The sequence below is a fragment of the Homo sapiens genome, chromosome 10 (genome assembly GCF_000001405.40).
Source record: "Homo sapiens chromosome 10, GRCh38.p14 Primary Assembly".
NCBI classification, from domain to species: domain Eukaryota; kingdom Metazoa; phylum Chordata; class Mammalia; order Primates; family Hominidae; genus Homo; species Homo sapiens.
The window spans coordinates 44385653-44401893 of NC_000010.11; the positions used below are offsets into that span (position 1 = coordinate 44385653).

Below are 16241 nucleotides of genomic sequence, written 5' to 3' on the forward strand. Positions count from 1 at the left end.
CGGGAATGAGACCCGTCTTTGCAGTCAGCGTGGCTCGGACTCCAAGCCCACGGCGCCACCAGCCGAGCCTCAGTTTCCTCGCCTGTACAAACAAAGCAGAAGGCGCCGGCGGCTCTCAGTAAAAGCGAATGTAGCCTTTGTACTTCCGACCTCTCAATGGTGAAATGAGCTAATCACAGGCCCACCCCGCGGAGTGGGACGGGAGATTCAATGAGACCCGCCCCACGCCGCGAAATTCTCTGCATCGTGTCTGACAAGCAGACAGTACTCAATAAATGGTAGCTGTAAGTAAGTCCTTTAAACCTAAGTACTTACTGCCTTACCCAAGAAAAGCTCCGTGCGACCCAAAGAGCTGAGAACTCCCCCACCCCGACCTCCGACTCCTAGGACAGTACTACTGGCGTCTGCCTTCTGGGTCCAGAAAACTCTTCCCACGGAGCCGTCCCTCGGCGGTGCTTAGCCCTCCGGATACCCCCGAGACATCCCAGATGGCCCCAGTCCGGTGGCGAAGGGAGGGTGCAGGTCGGCACCCAGGAGACGTGGGGGTGAGGAGAGCGCCCCTTTGGGCCTCGCTTTGTGACCGCAGGCTGCCCCAGCCACCTCTCTGTGTCCTTCCCAGCACAGCGTCCAGCGAAGTGGGGTCAGTCGCCGCGTCCATCCAGGGGCCTGCCCTGGGGACACGTCCCTGTCCCTGGGGAGTCCTGGCCGTCGGGGAGTGGGCGGTCAGCGGCTGCATTAGGCGGGAGCGGTCAACAGGAGGCTGCGAGGGCTCCGGAACTCCGCTGGTGGGAGTAGGTGTCTTCTGTGCATTTTTTTTCCAAAACCACTTTGGCCGTTAGATGGCTGTGGGCCGGCACTCCATCCATCCATCCATCCATCCATCCACCCACCCACCCACCCACCCACCCACCCTGGGCACTGGGCTTGGAGCCGGGAACCCCACTGACTTGGCCCTGCTCTTAAAGAACTGAAGGCAGTGAGGTCCAGTGAAGAAGGCAGCCGTCGGGCGTCCCCAGGCCTTTGCTGGGCTGGGCCGGGGAGCCTGGCCGCTCACCGGCCGCAGCGCTGGGGCTCCGGCGCCCTCTGGTGGCGGCGCCTCCCTCCCCGCTCCCAGAGCTCTGGCCAGCTCCATTCCTGCGCAGCTGATGAAACCCGGGAGGGCGAAGGGGTCCGCGGGAAATCTACACCCGGGTGGAGGGGCGCCCTGGAGCTCGGAGATCCGACCCTGCGGGAGCCGCGCGCAGCCTCGCTTGCCCTTAAATCTGGCCAAAGCAAACGCCATCGCCTCTCGCTTCTTCTTCTTCTTTTTTTCTTTGCCACAAAATCAGGTGGGCAGCTGGACCTAGGATCTGTCCCAGAAGCCTGAAAGGCCCGCGTGGGCTGAGTCGAGGGCGAACCAGGGATTCAGGCCTGGCCGCTGCCCCTCCCGCAGGCGCCCTGAGGCCCCAGAACAGAAGCTACTGTGGCACCCATGGGGCCATCCCTTCCGCTAGTCGTTCGTTAAATACTTACTGAGCACCCACTATGTGCTAGACCTGGGCTACATGTTTGAAGTAGTTTAGAAAAGGCACTAAACGTTTAGAAGCACATGGCGCTAAGCATAAGTAATTACGCATAAAATACTTAGAAGGCCATTAAATGCTAGGGGAAGATGGAGCAGAGGAAAGTGGGGTGGGAGTTAGGATTTTAAATAGGGTGGCCAAGGATCCATATTTTAGGTACAAGCCTCACAATTTTACAATTGGCGATTGAAATTTAAAACCCTGGCCGGGCACGGTGGCTCATGCCTGTAATCCCAGCACTTTGGAAGGCCGAGGCGGGCGGATCACGAGGTCAGGAGTTCGAGACCATCCTGGCTAACACGGTGAAACCCCGTCTCTACTAAAAATACAAAAAAATTAGCCGGCCGTGGTGGCGGGCGCCTGTAGTCCCAGCTACTCGGGAGGCTGAGGCAGGAAAATGGCGTGAACCCGGGAGGCGGAGCTTGCAGTGAGCCGAGATGGCGCCACTGCACTCCAGCCTGGGTGACAAAGCGAGACTCCGTCTCAAAAATAAATAAATAAACAAATATGTAAATAAATAAATAAATATGTAAATATGTAAATAAAATAAAATAAAACCCTGTACACTCTGGGGGCCTCCGCACCGCCTGCACAGGCAGGCGGCCATCAGACCAGGCCATTTTGACATGTCTCCAGCTCACTCGGCCACAGGGGTACCTCTCAAATTCGGGTCAGCGAAGTTCCCCACCCCTTTCCCTGTGTCCTTTGCTTATGCTTATGCTCAAAAGGCTCCACCTTTCTTTCTCTGCCTGGGGACTCTTACTCCCCATAGAGCCCCACCTTCTCCTGAAGTCTTCAGACTCTGTGCCGCTCTACCAGGTAATGCAGGGCACAGCGGCTCCTCAGGGATGCCTTGTTAAGCACAGTTCAAGGTGGGAGGCAGGGGTCTGGCTGCTGAGTTAAAGGCAGGGCATCTCCTGAGCTGGCATGTGTGCTATGGTCTCTAGACCCCTAGGCAGCATCTGCCTACCCCCCTCTGCCTGGCCTGGGCCGTTCACTCCTCCAGGGCCCAACGGCTGGGCCTGCAAGAGGGTTCCCAGTAGGGATTGAAGGTTTACACTAAATCCATGTTGTACAGTGTGTAATTGACAAGGTGACTTCAGGTGGTACTCTGAAATCTATAAAATATAGATTTATGTATTTATTTTTTTAAAGTAATAAGAAAAAATATAACTAGCACAGTAAAGGCAGATATTTCAGATATTGCTCAGGTTTTTTTTTTAATATATGGTTCAAGTTTTAAAAAGTAAGTCAATTGAAGCTAACATAGCAAGTGCTAGTCTAGGTGGCTGGAGACATAGCAAAAATTTTGACAGCAATACAAATAGATCTGAAATTTGAAAACCTTTTCTACATGAAGAATATTTTTTGTATTACTTGACACCCTCCCACCGCAATCCCCCTCTTGAAATAAGTATTTGGCTCCAAAGTGCTGAAACATAAAATCACACAAGGGAGGCACGATGTCTTCCTCACTTGCCTGCCAGGTGAGGCTGGAGAACGCTGGTCCAGGAGCGCTCAGGTCATAGGAAGACTGTGGGGCCCTATGGGATCCCTGGATACCCTTGGCCCTGCCACCCCTCCAGGAGTGCTCCTCTCCCAGCTCCCGTGCAGTCCTGGAGGGACCCCTCCCAACCACCCACATCTGCCCTCACTCCTTTGGCACCTGGCCCTGGGGTTCAGGAGCAGATGGCCTATTCCAGGAACCAGGAAGCCCGGTGAGGAAGACAAATCCTCACCGCCTTGCTGATGTCATCTGTGCAGCAGGTACATTAGCTGACATGGTGGATTTGGTCAGTGTGAAACCACTTGGCCCAGAGAAGGCCCTTAGGAAGATACTGAACAGTGGACTTACATAGGACTTTAGTTTGCCTTCTTTGAATTTGTCAATTTGGTACTTTCAAAGACCGAGCTTGCAGTATAAGCCCCACTGTCTCAGCTTTGAAGACATGGAACCCAAGTCTCCATGGGCTCTGAGCCCAAGGCTCAGAGTTGAGGGCCTCGGCCAACATGACAGAGCCAGGCAGGAGCAAGGGTACATCTCTCTGGGGCCAACGTCTCTGGATCCTGGAACATCAGCCAGGTCCTGAAAGCACTCTTGGGGACATAAGTCACTCCCATGGCAGTCATCCAGGGAGCCTTTTGGAATCCCGTACCCAGGGCCAGGACTTGGCATTTGACCAGCTGGCCATGTTTTTCCTGTCTAGATCCCCACTGGCCTCAAGAGCCAGTTGCAAACAGCCCCAGGCTGCCCTAGAGGGAAGGACCCCTGGGAGGCAGAGCTGATCCCCACTGGTTCTGGGCACATGTGTGGGCAAGCAAGGCTTACCGTCAGGGTATGTGCACGTCTAGCAGGCCAGGACTTCTGTCTGAGCAGGCTCTGCCCAAAGACTTCCTTGCTGGACAGTGCTGAGGCAGGGGGATCTGAGAATGTAAGAATAACAAACTCAGTTTCTCCTTACTCTCACAACACAAAATACTTTTGTGACTTCAGATGTGTGTGTGTGTGTGGGGGGGGGGGCGGGGATTCCCCACATACAAAGCCAGTAGTCCTTCAGCTGCAGACACCAGCTGGCTGTCTTCTAATTCAATTCAACTCTGAGATGATCTACCTGGAGGTAGGCTCAGGCCCCACATGTTGAGGCCCCAGTCCCACAAGGCTGCCCCTACTTCAGATACCAGTTGCAAGCCCTGGGTTGTTTTCCCAGTGCTTCTGACCAAATGACCATAAATTAGGGTTTCTATGACCCCATCCTTGGGTTTCATTAATTTGCTACCACAGCTCATGGAACTCAGGGAAGCACTTATGTTTACTGGTTTATTAAAAAGGGTATTATGGGCTGGGCGTGGTGGCTCACGGCTGTAATCCCAGCACTTTGGGAGGCTGATGTGGGTGGATCACCTGAGGTCAGGAGTTCAAGACCAGCCTGGCCAACATGGTGAAACCCCATCTCTACTAAATATACAAAAATCAACTGGGCTTGGTGGCGGGCACCTGTAATCCTAGCTACTTGGGAGGCTGAGGCAGGAGAATCTCTTGAACCCGGGAGGCGGAGGTTGCAGTGAGCCAAGATCACACCACTGCACTTCAGTCTAGGTGACAAGAGCAAAACTCTGTCTCAAAAAAAAAAAAAAAAGGATATTATGAAGGCTACAGGGGAAGAGATGCATAGGGCGAGGTATGGGGGAAGGGGACATGAAGCCTCCATGCCCTCTCCAGGCACCATCCTCCAGGAACCTCCACTGTCGTGAAGCCCTCTGAACCCTGCTTTGTTGTGTTTGTATAGAAGCTCATTACATAGGCATGATTGATTACATTACTGGTCATTGGTAACTTAGCCTTCAGCCCTGTTTCCTTCCTCAGAGGCTGATGGGGTGGGGCTATAAGTTCCCGCCTTCTAATCCTGCTTGGTCTTTCTGATGACTAGCCTCCATCCTGAAGCTACCCAAGGGTTGCCAGCCATCAGTCAAGTAAACCAAAGATTTTAGGAGCTGCATGCCAGGAAGCTGGGACAAAGACCAAATATATATTTCACAATAGCACAGTTGGTATTTCCTGGGACATTCCCCGGGACTGTCGGACTACCAGGGCTCATAGGGCAAATCAGACCCAAGGCCCCAGGGGTTCAGATCTGTGCTCCCAGTCCCCACACCAGTTCCCAGGAACCAAGTAGTGAACCCTTCCTGTGCTCAGTCACCACAGTCAGGCCTGGATTCCTTCTGCCTCCCTTTCCTAGCCCCACCCCTCTCTCCTATTCCCCTTGCCTCTGGGCAGACTGGACTCAGCAGCTGGGGATCCACTGAAGGTTCTCATACTGGAGTATACATCAGTTCCTACCTATCAGAAACCCCAGAGTGTGCACACTGAGAGTGTGAACAGCATTGACACTGGAGTCACCCTGTGCTGCGTGCCTTCTGTCACCTTTCTCCTTGCATCTAGCTGATGAGGTGGGTTCAATGGCAAGGCCATTCCCTGAAATAAGGGACAGAGATCACAAAACTATTATTTGTCAGGGATGGAGTTTAAATCCACTCTGAAGTAGGGCTGTTCCTGGTGAAGGAGAAAGAGCTGGTTTGCCACATAAAACACAGCATGCCCAGTTATGTTTGAATTTCACAAAAAAGCAAGGGATTTTGTGTATTTGTTTTTTGTTTGTTTGTTTCTTTTTGTTTTTAAGTATCAGTGTGTCCCAAACATTGCATGGGGCATGGGGCATACTTATTAAAAAGAATTATCAGTGTTTGTTTGAAATTCAGGTTTAACGGAGCATCCTGTATTTTCATTTGCAGAGTCTATGCTTGTCACATTGCCACAGCCCCCCGCCTTGTGGTCTTCTGCCTGAACCTTCAGAACATGTGGTTGAGGTTGGGAAGGGAAGTTATGGAGTCACTTTTTTTTTTCATTGAGAGGATTTCTTGAGTTTTATTAACACAGAGATGCTAGAAAGTGGTGCATGAAAGCAATATAGGAATGATCTTTTCTTGTTCTTCTTTCTGGGTTGAGCAGTGTAACACAGCACCTGCCCCAACCCTACCCTTCCAGAAATAGTCCTGGCCATGCCTGAAGCAAGGGTAGGCAGGTCTCTTATCCCCAATATCACCAGCCCTGCTCTTCCTCTGGTCCCGGCAGATGTGTATGATGCCCAGCTACTGACACTCTTTCCATCTATTTCAGGTGGGTGAGCTGTGGGTGGAGAAGGAGGGGAGAAATATCTCAGGGAAGAGGGCCACGTGAGCAATATCCTGGGCTGGTGGGATTCTGCAGGAGAGGAAAGAGCTCAAGAGCTGCTGTGGGTTGTAAAGGAGGAGCTGGGTCTGCTGCCTGCACAGATGGTCCCTTCCAATTAGAAAAGCCAGGATTCCAGCTCCACTGGCCCTCCTTGTTTGGAAGAGGAGTTTTTACTTCTTTCTCCACCCTACATCCCTGTGGCGGGGTGTCTGTAGTCTTACTGCATGGATGATCTGAACTGGGCTGTACACAGAGGCTACTGAGAGAGGCTTTCAAGGCTGAGTGCAAATGCGGGCTTCACCAGCAGCCTGGCCTAGGGGATGTAAGTGGGAGATGGACTCAGGTGGGGATACCTCTGAGGTATCCATCCATTCATCTACTCACCTACCCATATATTAATCCATTCATCTATTCACCCACTGAAACACCCAGTCATCCATCCATACGTCCATCCAACACATGTACCCATCCGTCCATCCATTCATCCATTCATCCACCCACCTACCCATACATTAATCCATTCATCATTCACCCACCGAAACACCCAGTTATCCATCTATATATCCATCCAACACCATCTACCCATCCATCCATCCATTCTTTCATCCATGCCTCCATTCATCCGTGCACCCCTCCATCTATCCAGCCAATTATCCATCTGCTCATCCATCCACTCATCCATCACTCCATCCATCCTACACCATCCATCCATCCAGCCAGCCAGTCATAGCTCCATCCATCTGTCCAGCCAATTATCTATCCACCCATCCATCTGGCTTTCCCCTTCACCCCCTCCACACCAGTCCTCTCCAACTGCTTTAGTCCTGAGCGATATTTTCCATAAGGAACAGAAAGACATGCCTCCTGCTTCCTGGACCACAGGAAAAAAGAAGCAAGTACCAAAAGCTCAAAACCTGGAGATCACTCAGCAAATTTTAGCCTTGAAATAGATCAAAACCTTCACCTTTCTCTGCTGAAGGAATGGCCTTCTCTTATGGGCAGGGAGGGTTTCCTAGGGAAAGCCCACCCAGGCAGGAGATGAGGAGAGCAGCATCTGAGCACACTTCATCCCACAGTGCCCATCCCATGAGTATCCTCCATAAATTACAAAGAAAGAAAAAAAATAGGGAAAAAACAAACCTTTATTTCTCTGTTTACTTCTCTGCATTTAATGAGCAGTTGTTAACATGACTGAAACCATCTGATGATTTTTACCAAATGGAAAAATCTGCCTACAGGGGCAATAAAATAAATATTCAGAATAGAGAGAGGCAGTCATAAAAGACATTACCCGGTTGTAAACGGAGGCGGGTGGTGGTGATCTATTACCCCTGCCTCGGCAGCTTTCAACAGAGTTCTGGAATTCCAGGAGGGGCCCTGACCCAAGGCAATATTTACTTCTGCGGCTTCTTCATCAGGTCAGCATGGGTATAATTCTGTCTACCAGTTGACTGGAGCTGAGGTTTCGAGCAGGAAGTGCAAACCCTGAGTGCTTATAACTCAGGAGGAGTGAGGCACCCCTTCCCAGAGTATGCCAAGAAAAGCACATTGTACTGTCCTGGCTGCAGGGGTGAGGCCCCTGCACACCCAGGCCATTATCAGCTTTGTGCCCTGGCCAACAGCGCCTCTGGTTGGTGCATTTGTCAGCTGTATTTTACCCTAGAGCTCTGGGAGGCTCATCCTTTTTTGGTATACCACCACGTGGAGAGAGCAGAGTTTTAATAGTGTGGCTGCTTCATGCACCTTGGTAGAGCTAATTAGACCCAGAAGAGATCTTGAAGTCTGAATAGAAATTTAAAATCAAAGCTTAAACTTGCAAAGACAGGCATTCCTTCCCCAGGGACCAAACATGAAGCTGCCTTTAGAGATGGCCACAGTTGTGCCAGCCCCTATAACAACCTCAGCGTACCCAGATGTTAGATAGACCCAAAAGATCGCATAGGCAGGCCACAACAGCAGCTCATATGAACTTAGCAGCGGCATTGAAGAGCAAGCGTGCTTATCCCATTTTCAGATCAGAGAGGGAGGTAACTTCCCAACACCACAGGAACCAGCAGTGCAGCTGAGGCTCTGACCAGGGCTCATGCTATGGCCCTGCATGTTCCCCTCATGCTCCCTGGTCTGGCTGCAGAAGTGTTTGGTTTTTGGTTGCTTTGGGTGCAGAAGTGCAGACTCTCCCCTGACCTTCTGGCCTACTTCAGGGTTCATTCACTGGTATGGTGTAGGGATCTGTTGCATCACAGCTAGGCTCTGCCTGAGAGCTTGGAGGAGTTTAATAAACTTACAGAACAGCTGACCACAAAGACCAGAATAAGGCTTGGATCCCTTTGGTGTGTGCCCACAGCCAGTCATGGGGTCTGCACAGCCTCAGAGGCCCAGGCTGGCTGGAGGCTGCAGCATGCAATGGGCTGGTCACCCAGGTGTGCCACAGCACCTGCTCCCACTTTTACATGCCAGCCAGCACCTTCCTGGGGGGCACTAGGCATGGCTCTCAGTCCTCCTGAAGAGGGGCTCCTTCAGCCTTGCCCTTGAAGACCCGAAATGCTCATGGGTAAGGTCATGTGCAGACACCAGTTCTTAGAATGGAATAATTCAAAGAGCCTTTGGGTGGTTAGAGAACCTGGAGGTGGGGGTGAGGGTCTGCTTTTTTTTTGTGGAGGCACCAGAAGCTCTGAGGATGACATTTTTCTGTCCTGCAGAAGTGCAGGGAATTGCAGCATTTAAAATTTTTTCATCTTTGCTTCTTCTCATGGAGAGCTCTAGTTGGTTTATGAAGGAAGTGTCCTGTGCATTTTTCTTTCCCATGGAACTACCGGGTTCCCATCCCCATTTCGCCAGTGAGGACTCTGGGACTACAGACCTGAAGGAGGTTACTCAGGTGGTGGTGGGGCACCAGAGCACCTGGGGGGGTTCACACCCTGGCTTCTGTGGTCTCTAAAGGTGGGTGCAGAGCTGAGAGGGCTGGGAGTATGGTCAGGTTTTGCAAAGAGTAGCTTGTTGGGTGCTTCTGCAGGATCCCTTTTAGATGCGACCTTAGCAAGACACAAGACAATCTCCTCCCAACAGTCACTGCCTCCCTCCTACAGGCTCCCTGGGTTTCTGAAGCCACCTTAGTCTTAACACAAGGGGGGTTTCAGGCAGGTGTCTGCACACAGCCAGGCCTGGGGCACTCCTGAGTGTCAAGGGAAACAGGTTTGAAGTCCCCATGCCATTGCTGCTTTCAGCTCGGCCCCCTGAACAGGTCCTTAAATGGGAGTTTGTTTTCTGTAATCACCACCCCCTGGAATCTGGGCAATCATGGTTTCTGTGGGAACCAGTCTGTCTGCAGGCCCAGGAACCATGGAAGATGAAAGCAAAGATAAGTTGGTCTCTTTACCCAGGGGCCAGCCCTCAGTGAGTGTTGAAGAAGGGAAGGGAGTTGGGGGAGGCAGAGGGGGGCTTAGGGAAGGAAGAGGAGAGGACTGCGCAGAGGTCCAGAGAGGGAATACGTTTTCCAGGAGCAGCCCTGTGGTAGGAGGCAGAGGGTGCACATATGTGTCTGTGTCCATCCTCATTGTTGGACAAGCCTTTGCCTCCAGGAGCCCAGCAGGAGCAGCTGAGGGCAGGGCCAGGCCAGGATGTGCTTGCCACCTGTTTCTCCCTCCCTCCCAGGCCATAGAAATGAGGCCCTCCTCTTCCCTTCCCCCTGTCCCCATAGCGCAGGTGTGTGCTGGTGCCTGCCCCAGAGGACATCTGGGGCCAGGAGGTACCTAGGTGGTGAACAGCTGGACTGATTCCAGGAATGACAGAGGACAAAAAAAACAAAAAGGAACTTGTTTATTCAGGCGGAAATGCTTCACGTGTGCAAAATTTGACCTCCATCTCCCTAGGTTGCCAGATGGTGGATGTGTTTAGTTTGTATGTAAAAAAAAGGAAGAAACTGGATGGAGAGCCAGCAGTCAGGCCTTACAGTGGCCCACTCCCCACTTTGGGCTCAGAGGGACACTGTCCATGCCAAGAGAAGTGGGGTGCCACTGGGTGCCCCTGGGAAGAGCCTTTGCTGCCTAGCCTGGCCTGGCTCCCAGTGTCCTCGGCAGGACTGAGGGAGCTGCTTGGCAGATGCCAAGTTTAGCTCAGATCCTAACCACGGAGGGGAGAGGTGCACTGGGCATCTCCACCCCACACCCAGGCCTCTAGGCAGAACTCATTTGGCCTTTTTGGTTGTGGATTTGGGGGCCTTCAGAGGCCACATTTCTACCTCCAGCAGGTCAGCCTGGGGAGAGAGGCTCAGTGGTGAGCCAGGCCAGCTGGCAGCCACCGTTCAGCTCTGCACTCCTGTCCAGTAAGCCCCTGCTTCCCGGGATCAGTTTGGGGAAAGAACCTGAAACGTCGGGCCACTCCTGTCCTGGAACACTCAACAGCTTCCCTGCCCCTCCCCATACTCACTTTTCCTGAGTTTGCTTCTCCCGAGTGACCTGATTGGCATCCCAGTGCCTATATGTTGTTGGAGACAAGGAAAGCGAGGCTCAGGGAGTTTGTTACCAGTGAGTGGAAAAGACGGGATCTGAACTCACGGTCAGCTACAAATCCCAGCTTTCCCTGTCATGCTGCACAAGCCATCTCAGGGCAGGAAGGAGGAGGCCTCTCAGCATGACTGACTGCTTCTCAGCTGGGACTGGAGTCTTGGGCTACAACTAGAATTTGCAAGAGTCCCAGGACAAGAGCCAGGGAGAGGGCGGCAGAGCTGAGTGGGTTGCCCCTGGGGCAATTTGAAAGGTTTCACGAAGGAGGGGATCTGAGCTAAATGTTGAAGGAGGCAAAGATTAAGAAGTAGAGATGTGGTGGGTGGAGCAAGAGGGTTTAGGAAACAAAGAATGAGGGTAAGGCCATGGGGCTCGTGCTGGGGGCAGCCAGGAGAGCAGTTTTGTGTGTAGGAGGTGCCTGAGGGGCCATCTTCAGGCTCCATGGAGAAGGCTGGTGGCCGTCAGCCAGGAGCTCTCCCAGCACTGGGGGGAAGCTCGTCCTTCAGACCTGGTGGTCTGTGGTGGGGAATCACAGCATCCACAGTCTACCCCTTGCTCTGCCAAACCCCTGCTCAGGAGGGTTTTGTGTTAGAAGAGGAGCCCGGCCAGGGAGGGCATAGGACGTGGACTTTGAGGAGTCCCTGCACACAGGAGGCCCCTGTGTGTGGGCAGCCAGCTTGGATGGGAGGGTGATGGGACCTCTGTGAAGTCTCTGGGAATTCGGTGGAGTTTCATGGGCCAGGTTTAAGATGAAATGTATTTTAAAGAGCTTTTTATGATGGAAATAGCAGGAATATAAAAATTCCACCGGCTTGTTGGAACAGAGTGTCTACAAACCTTTTGCGAGGGCTTTTGTATCAGTCAAACGGTTTTACAGTCACAGGTGACTAAAATCCAACAGAATTAACTTAGGCCAAGGTGGAGGAATGGGCGGGGATGGGATGGTACAGGAAGGGAAGGGAAAGAGGGGAGGACAGGAGAGGGGAGGGGAAGGGAGAGGAGGAGAGGGGAGGGGAGGGGAGGGGAAGGGAGACAAGACTAAATCTCCCTCTCTCCCACCTCTCTGTCTATTCTTATATACTTGAAATGGAGGAGGAGAGCCCTGCAGCCTGGCCCCAGCCTCTGAGGAGGGATTGTGCACTGGGCTCAGCCAGGGCTTCAGTAGAGCTGGGTCATGTGGCCACTGCTGCCTGGTCCTGGTGGAGGGTCCCTGCAACTTAGCTTCCCCCACTCCCCCTCTCCCATCCAGCTGCTAGAATGAATGCAGATGAGGCCTGGGGCAGGGAATGGGGGAGGGCTGTTGTTAGGGGTCAGCAAAGTTTGAAGTCTGACCTAGGCTCTCACAGCTAGCCAGGGGCTGCCACGGGGCTCCAGACAAGCACTGGTCCCTTGTCCTTATTACCGGCTTTTTTCAAAACCTAGTAGGATACTTGGGACATCTGGGCATAGGCAATCATGCCCTTCTTCTGAGTCATCAGCCTGGCAAGCCCAGTGTGGGTAAAGAGTGGTGTCAGGGGTTCATATGGCTACCTTGTAAGTTCCAGAACTCCAGGTCCACAGGAGCCCCTCGGTCCTGAGCCCACAGCAGGCAGCTCCAGACACAGACAGCACAGGCAACATCAGCCACCTAGTCCGAGCACCACAGGCTTGCAGGCAGATGTGCTACGAAGCCCATGGTTGACCATTCCCTTTCTCAACCCTGTCTTTAAAGGTTGGCGCAATACTTTCAGCATGTGAACACCACATGGGAAAGAAGCTGGCATTGAACTTAGGTTTCCAGAGCATCTATTATGGTCTGCACCCTCCTGGGAAACGGGTATATGTTATCTATGGTAATTGACACAAGGATACTACGAAACAGGCGATTTTATCACCATTTGTTAAATTAAGAAAGAAATTGGCTTAAGCAATGTAAGTAACTCACCCAGCTCACCCAGTGAGTGGCCGGGATGAATCTGGGCTGTCTGGTCAGAGCCTGTGAGAGCCACACTGCCTGCCTTTGTCAGGTGGCAGCTCCTCCTGCTGTGTTCTGGGGAAAGTGCTGGGGAAAGTCAATTAACGGCACTGGACCTGGCCTGCGAGCCAGCATCCTCACTTGCAAATAAGGCTGAGTGGAGCCTTTTGATGCAAAGATTAAGTGTATGTGAAGGTGCCTTGTAAACTGTGAAGTGGCATGCACTTGGCACACTGAGGTGTCAGGATGCTTACCGTCTCGGCTGGTCAGTACACAGGATTATGAAGATGACAAGGGCAAGCCCCGCTTGCTTTACATTTATTTTAAAAGCCCCTCTAGCATGAGACAATAAGGTGAACCGATGGCTCCTCATTCCACTCCCTGAATGCAGCTAATTTTTCATCTGCAGGCAGGCAGTTTTGCAAACAAGGCTCTGAACTTGAAGCTCAGAGGGTGAGCGAGGCCTCGTGCCCCCAGGGCCTCTGCTTGCTCCATGTTGGTGCCCCAACGTCCAGGGATGCAAAGCACAGAGGACCCTTAGAGGCCACACCTGGAAGTGCTCATTCAATGGACCGAGGGATGAAAGTGAGGAGAGCGTTAGGGGAGCTGTGCACAGTAAGTAGGGGCTGGAATGGGATGTGACCCAGGACATCCTGGTTAGATTTGGCCAGGAGAGCTGTGAAAATAGGGGAAGCTGGTCCCCAAACCCCACACCCTTTTAAAAAATCAATCCTGGTGGGCGCAGTGGCAGAAGGACCTGAGTTTGTTACAAAGACCTCAGCAATCCTCTCCCTCTCCTGACCTGTAAACACCAAGAGCCGGAGACAATGCAAGTGTCAGACGCTTCTCCACCCGCAATGAGGCCTGGGAAGCCCAAGTTGATTGGCTTTCTTTCCAGGAAGGCAGAGCCCAGACGCACTTCAAGGTGGGTATTTCTGTTTGTTTTCTCCTCAAGGAAAGCACAGCTGAAGGGCTCACGTATTCCACACCCTCTTTTCAAGGCTCATTAATAAGGAGCCCAGGGCAAAATCATACATGTGGCAAACTCCACAACCACCAAGGCCGGCAGAGCAGTGAGAGCTGCATTAATGGGGAATTTCAGTGAAATGCCGCCCAGCTCCTAAATTCATACCAGATGAGTTCCAGAAGATTAAAGTTATTACAATAAAGCCCCAGGGAATCAATCACGCTCTGCCTTGTAACCTTCTTGGTTTTCTGCATCATTCACACAAACCACTTTCTGCAGGGCACTGGGGTGTTCCCTAGCTGGGCTGGACCCACAGGCCCCAATAAAGCACTTCAGGTTAGAAAGCCTAGCAAAAGGACAGGCTTGGTTCAGGTAAGTGGCTGGGGTCTGGCAAGTGGCTTGTTTAGTGACCAGTGACAATGCGGTGTGGGAGCCCAGTGGGGAAGGGTGGGCTCCCTAACCCCCAGCCTGCCTGAGGCATGCCCCTGGGGGTGGTCACTGTTGGAACCTTGATAAAAAAACAGCCTGAAAGTTGGAAAGTGTCTTGGTAAAGAGTAGAACACGGCACAGTTCTCTTTGATACTGTTTTTATGTTTTCATTTTTTATCCTTTTTTTTTCCCAAAGTGCCTCCCAGCCATCCAGGTTCAATCTCAAGTCCTTGTATGCTCAACCAGGCTCCTGGTGAGCCAGTGATCCTGCGCCATTCTCCCCCAGAACCCCTGGTGGCCACCTGCACTGTCCCTGAACTCCTGTCCCCGAGTGTGAACACAGTCCTCATTCTGCATTACACCCCTGGGAGCAGGCATCAGCTCTCTCTGCCTCCACTTCTATGAGAGTTCCAGATGATAGAGGTGCAGAATAATTCACTAAAGAGTCTGCAACCTCTAAGGCCCAGACCTGCCCTGTGGTCTCTGCCCCAGCCATCTGCTATCTCCCTCCCAAATCCAAGCTCTACAAAAGTTCCAAGTTTGTCCACGTTTTGGTGTTCAAGCCCCCAAACTCTCTGCCCCATCCTGAATGCTCCTTCCTGCTTCGCAATATTGAGTAGGACCATCCATTCCCTTCAGAGAAGTCCCACACTCAGCTTCAGAAATGTAGCTTGGTCCAGTGACCAAGCAAGATATTCACAAAGCTGACTGACACAGGTGCATTTCACACTTCTTATTTCTTTATTCTTATTTATGATAATATTTAACTTAGGATCAATGCTCAGCGTTTGTGAGAGCTATCTGGAGTTTCCTTTTTCTGTGCAACTTTTTTTGGTTTTGATGTCAGAATTCTATTAGCTTTCCAAAGAAGAATCTACAGACTCTCCCCTCCCCCAACATTCTTGCTCTTGGTCAGTTTAAACAGAATTCAGCATTTGAAAAACCCCATCCTGAAAACACTGAAGCCAGTGCTTTTGAGGGCTGTAGTTCTTTTACAACTGTTTGATTTGCCATTTAGGCATTCCTATCTCTTCTTGAGTCCATTTCGATCATTTGCATGTTCCTAGAAAACGGCTTTTCATTCAGGTTTTCAGAGTCATTGATATGTTTAAGTAATTCTGTTTTCTTCTTTTTCGTACTCTGGTTATTTGTACTTTCTCATACTCTGTTTCTTTGCCCCCTGCCTCCTTCCCTCCCCCTTTCTCTCTCCTTGCTTTCTTTTTCTTTTACTTGTTTTTGTTTTCCTTGACTGGGCGAATTAATATTTTGTTGCACTCCATTTTGTTTCATTCTATTCCATTCTCCTCCGCCACCAAAGACATACCTTTCATGTCATGGTCAATTGTATGAGGCTTTTCTGTTGTCACTGTGATTCTATTTTTAATATTCTTTTTAGTGACCTTAATCAAAAGAATTATTATGTAAAATACCTAGTTCATTTGTTTTTATTGGTTCATATTTTTACTGAAAATATTAATGGCTATATATTTTTCTATGAACACAGCTTTAATAGTATTCCAAAGATTATGAAAAGGAATATTGATTTTAAGGAAATTCCATGAGGGACTTTCAGTTTTTCTCTCACTGAAGTATTGTTTAGGGAAGAGCTTTTAAAAGTTCAGAATTGTTCTGTGTTATTATTGCAATTAGTAAATTTTGTTTTGCATTTTTAGTTTTCCTTTATTGATGTTAAAGAAGGTGGTTTTTGTTATTTTTCTTTTTCTTTTGAGTTTGAGGTTTTCTTTGTGAACAATAGAAAAGGATACACATTTTCTGTACACAAGGCATGGGGACATATATAAAATGTCATACATGTTTATATGAATATATGTGTGTGTTATATATATGATCAATCTATTAATGGAATTATTTGGATTCTCTGTTTCACTCTTCCTTAATTTCTTGACATACAGGATTGAGTGAGAGAGCTACACTGAAGTCTTCCAATGATTTTGTGCTTTGTCAAATTTATCCTTTTATTTGTTCCAGTTTTTGCTACATTTATTAATGCTATGATGCTATATAGTAAATAAAGGTTCTTGACAGCTATATCTTTAAATCAATCAAGCAATAAATATTATAAAATATTTTATATTTT

At 50.5% G+C, this 16241-nt stretch overlaps 1 long non-coding RNA gene across 1 annotated transcript, besides 6 other annotated features; it reads left to right on the forward strand.

The window, feature by feature from the left end:
* Positions 974-1183: a silencer, noted in NCBI's record as "silent region_2340". NCBI's record gives its function as "represses an Ori minimal core promoter by ATAC-STARR-seq in GM12878 lymphoblastoid cells {active_cell/tissue: GM12878}" and the evidence as "EXISTENCE:reporter gene assay evidence [ECO:0000049][PMID:35858748]".
* LOC107984179 (uncharacterized) lies at positions 4114-16196 on the forward strand. The gene is made up of 3 exons (XR_001747298.2): positions 4114-4180; positions 12505-12625; positions 13157-16196. It is a non-coding gene; the product is annotated as an uncharacterized LOC107984179 (long non-coding RNA).
* Positions 9434-10179: an enhancer, noted in NCBI's record as "H3K4me1 hESC enhancer chr10:44890534-44891279 (GRCh37/hg19 assembly coordinates)". NCBI's record gives its function as "activates a minimal SCP1, AML or CMV promoter by ChIP-STARR-seq in primed H9 embryonic stem cells {active_cell/tissue: H9 hESC(primed)}" and the evidence as "EXISTENCE:reporter gene assay evidence [ECO:0000049][PMID:30033119]".
* Positions 10180-10924: an enhancer, noted in NCBI's record as "H3K4me1 hESC enhancer chr10:44891280-44892024 (GRCh37/hg19 assembly coordinates)". NCBI's record gives its function as "activates a minimal SCP1, AML or CMV promoter by ChIP-STARR-seq in primed H9 embryonic stem cells {active_cell/tissue: H9 hESC(primed)}" and the evidence as "EXISTENCE:reporter gene assay evidence [ECO:0000049][PMID:30033119]".
* Positions 13159-13903: an enhancer, noted in NCBI's record as "H3K4me1 hESC enhancer chr10:44894259-44895003 (GRCh37/hg19 assembly coordinates)". NCBI's record gives its function as "activates a minimal SCP1, AML or CMV promoter by ChIP-STARR-seq in naive H9 embryonic stem cells {active_cell/tissue: H9 hESC(naive)}" and the evidence as "EXISTENCE:reporter gene assay evidence [ECO:0000049][PMID:30033119]".
* Positions 13904-14648: an enhancer, noted in NCBI's record as "H3K27ac-H3K4me1 hESC enhancer chr10:44895004-44895748 (GRCh37/hg19 assembly coordinates)". NCBI's record gives its function as "activates a minimal SCP1, AML or CMV promoter by ChIP-STARR-seq in primed H9 embryonic stem cells {active_cell/tissue: H9 hESC(primed)}" and the evidence as "EXISTENCE:reporter gene assay evidence [ECO:0000049][PMID:30033119]".
* Positions 14649-15392: an enhancer, noted in NCBI's record as "OCT4-NANOG-H3K27ac-H3K4me1 hESC enhancer chr10:44895749-44896492 (GRCh37/hg19 assembly coordinates)". NCBI's record gives its function as "activates a minimal SCP1, AML or CMV promoter by ChIP-STARR-seq in naive and primed H9 embryonic stem cells {active_cell/tissue: H9 hESC(naive and primed)}" and the evidence as "EXISTENCE:reporter gene assay evidence [ECO:0000049][PMID:30033119]".
* Positions 16197-16241: the final 45 nt, after the last annotated feature.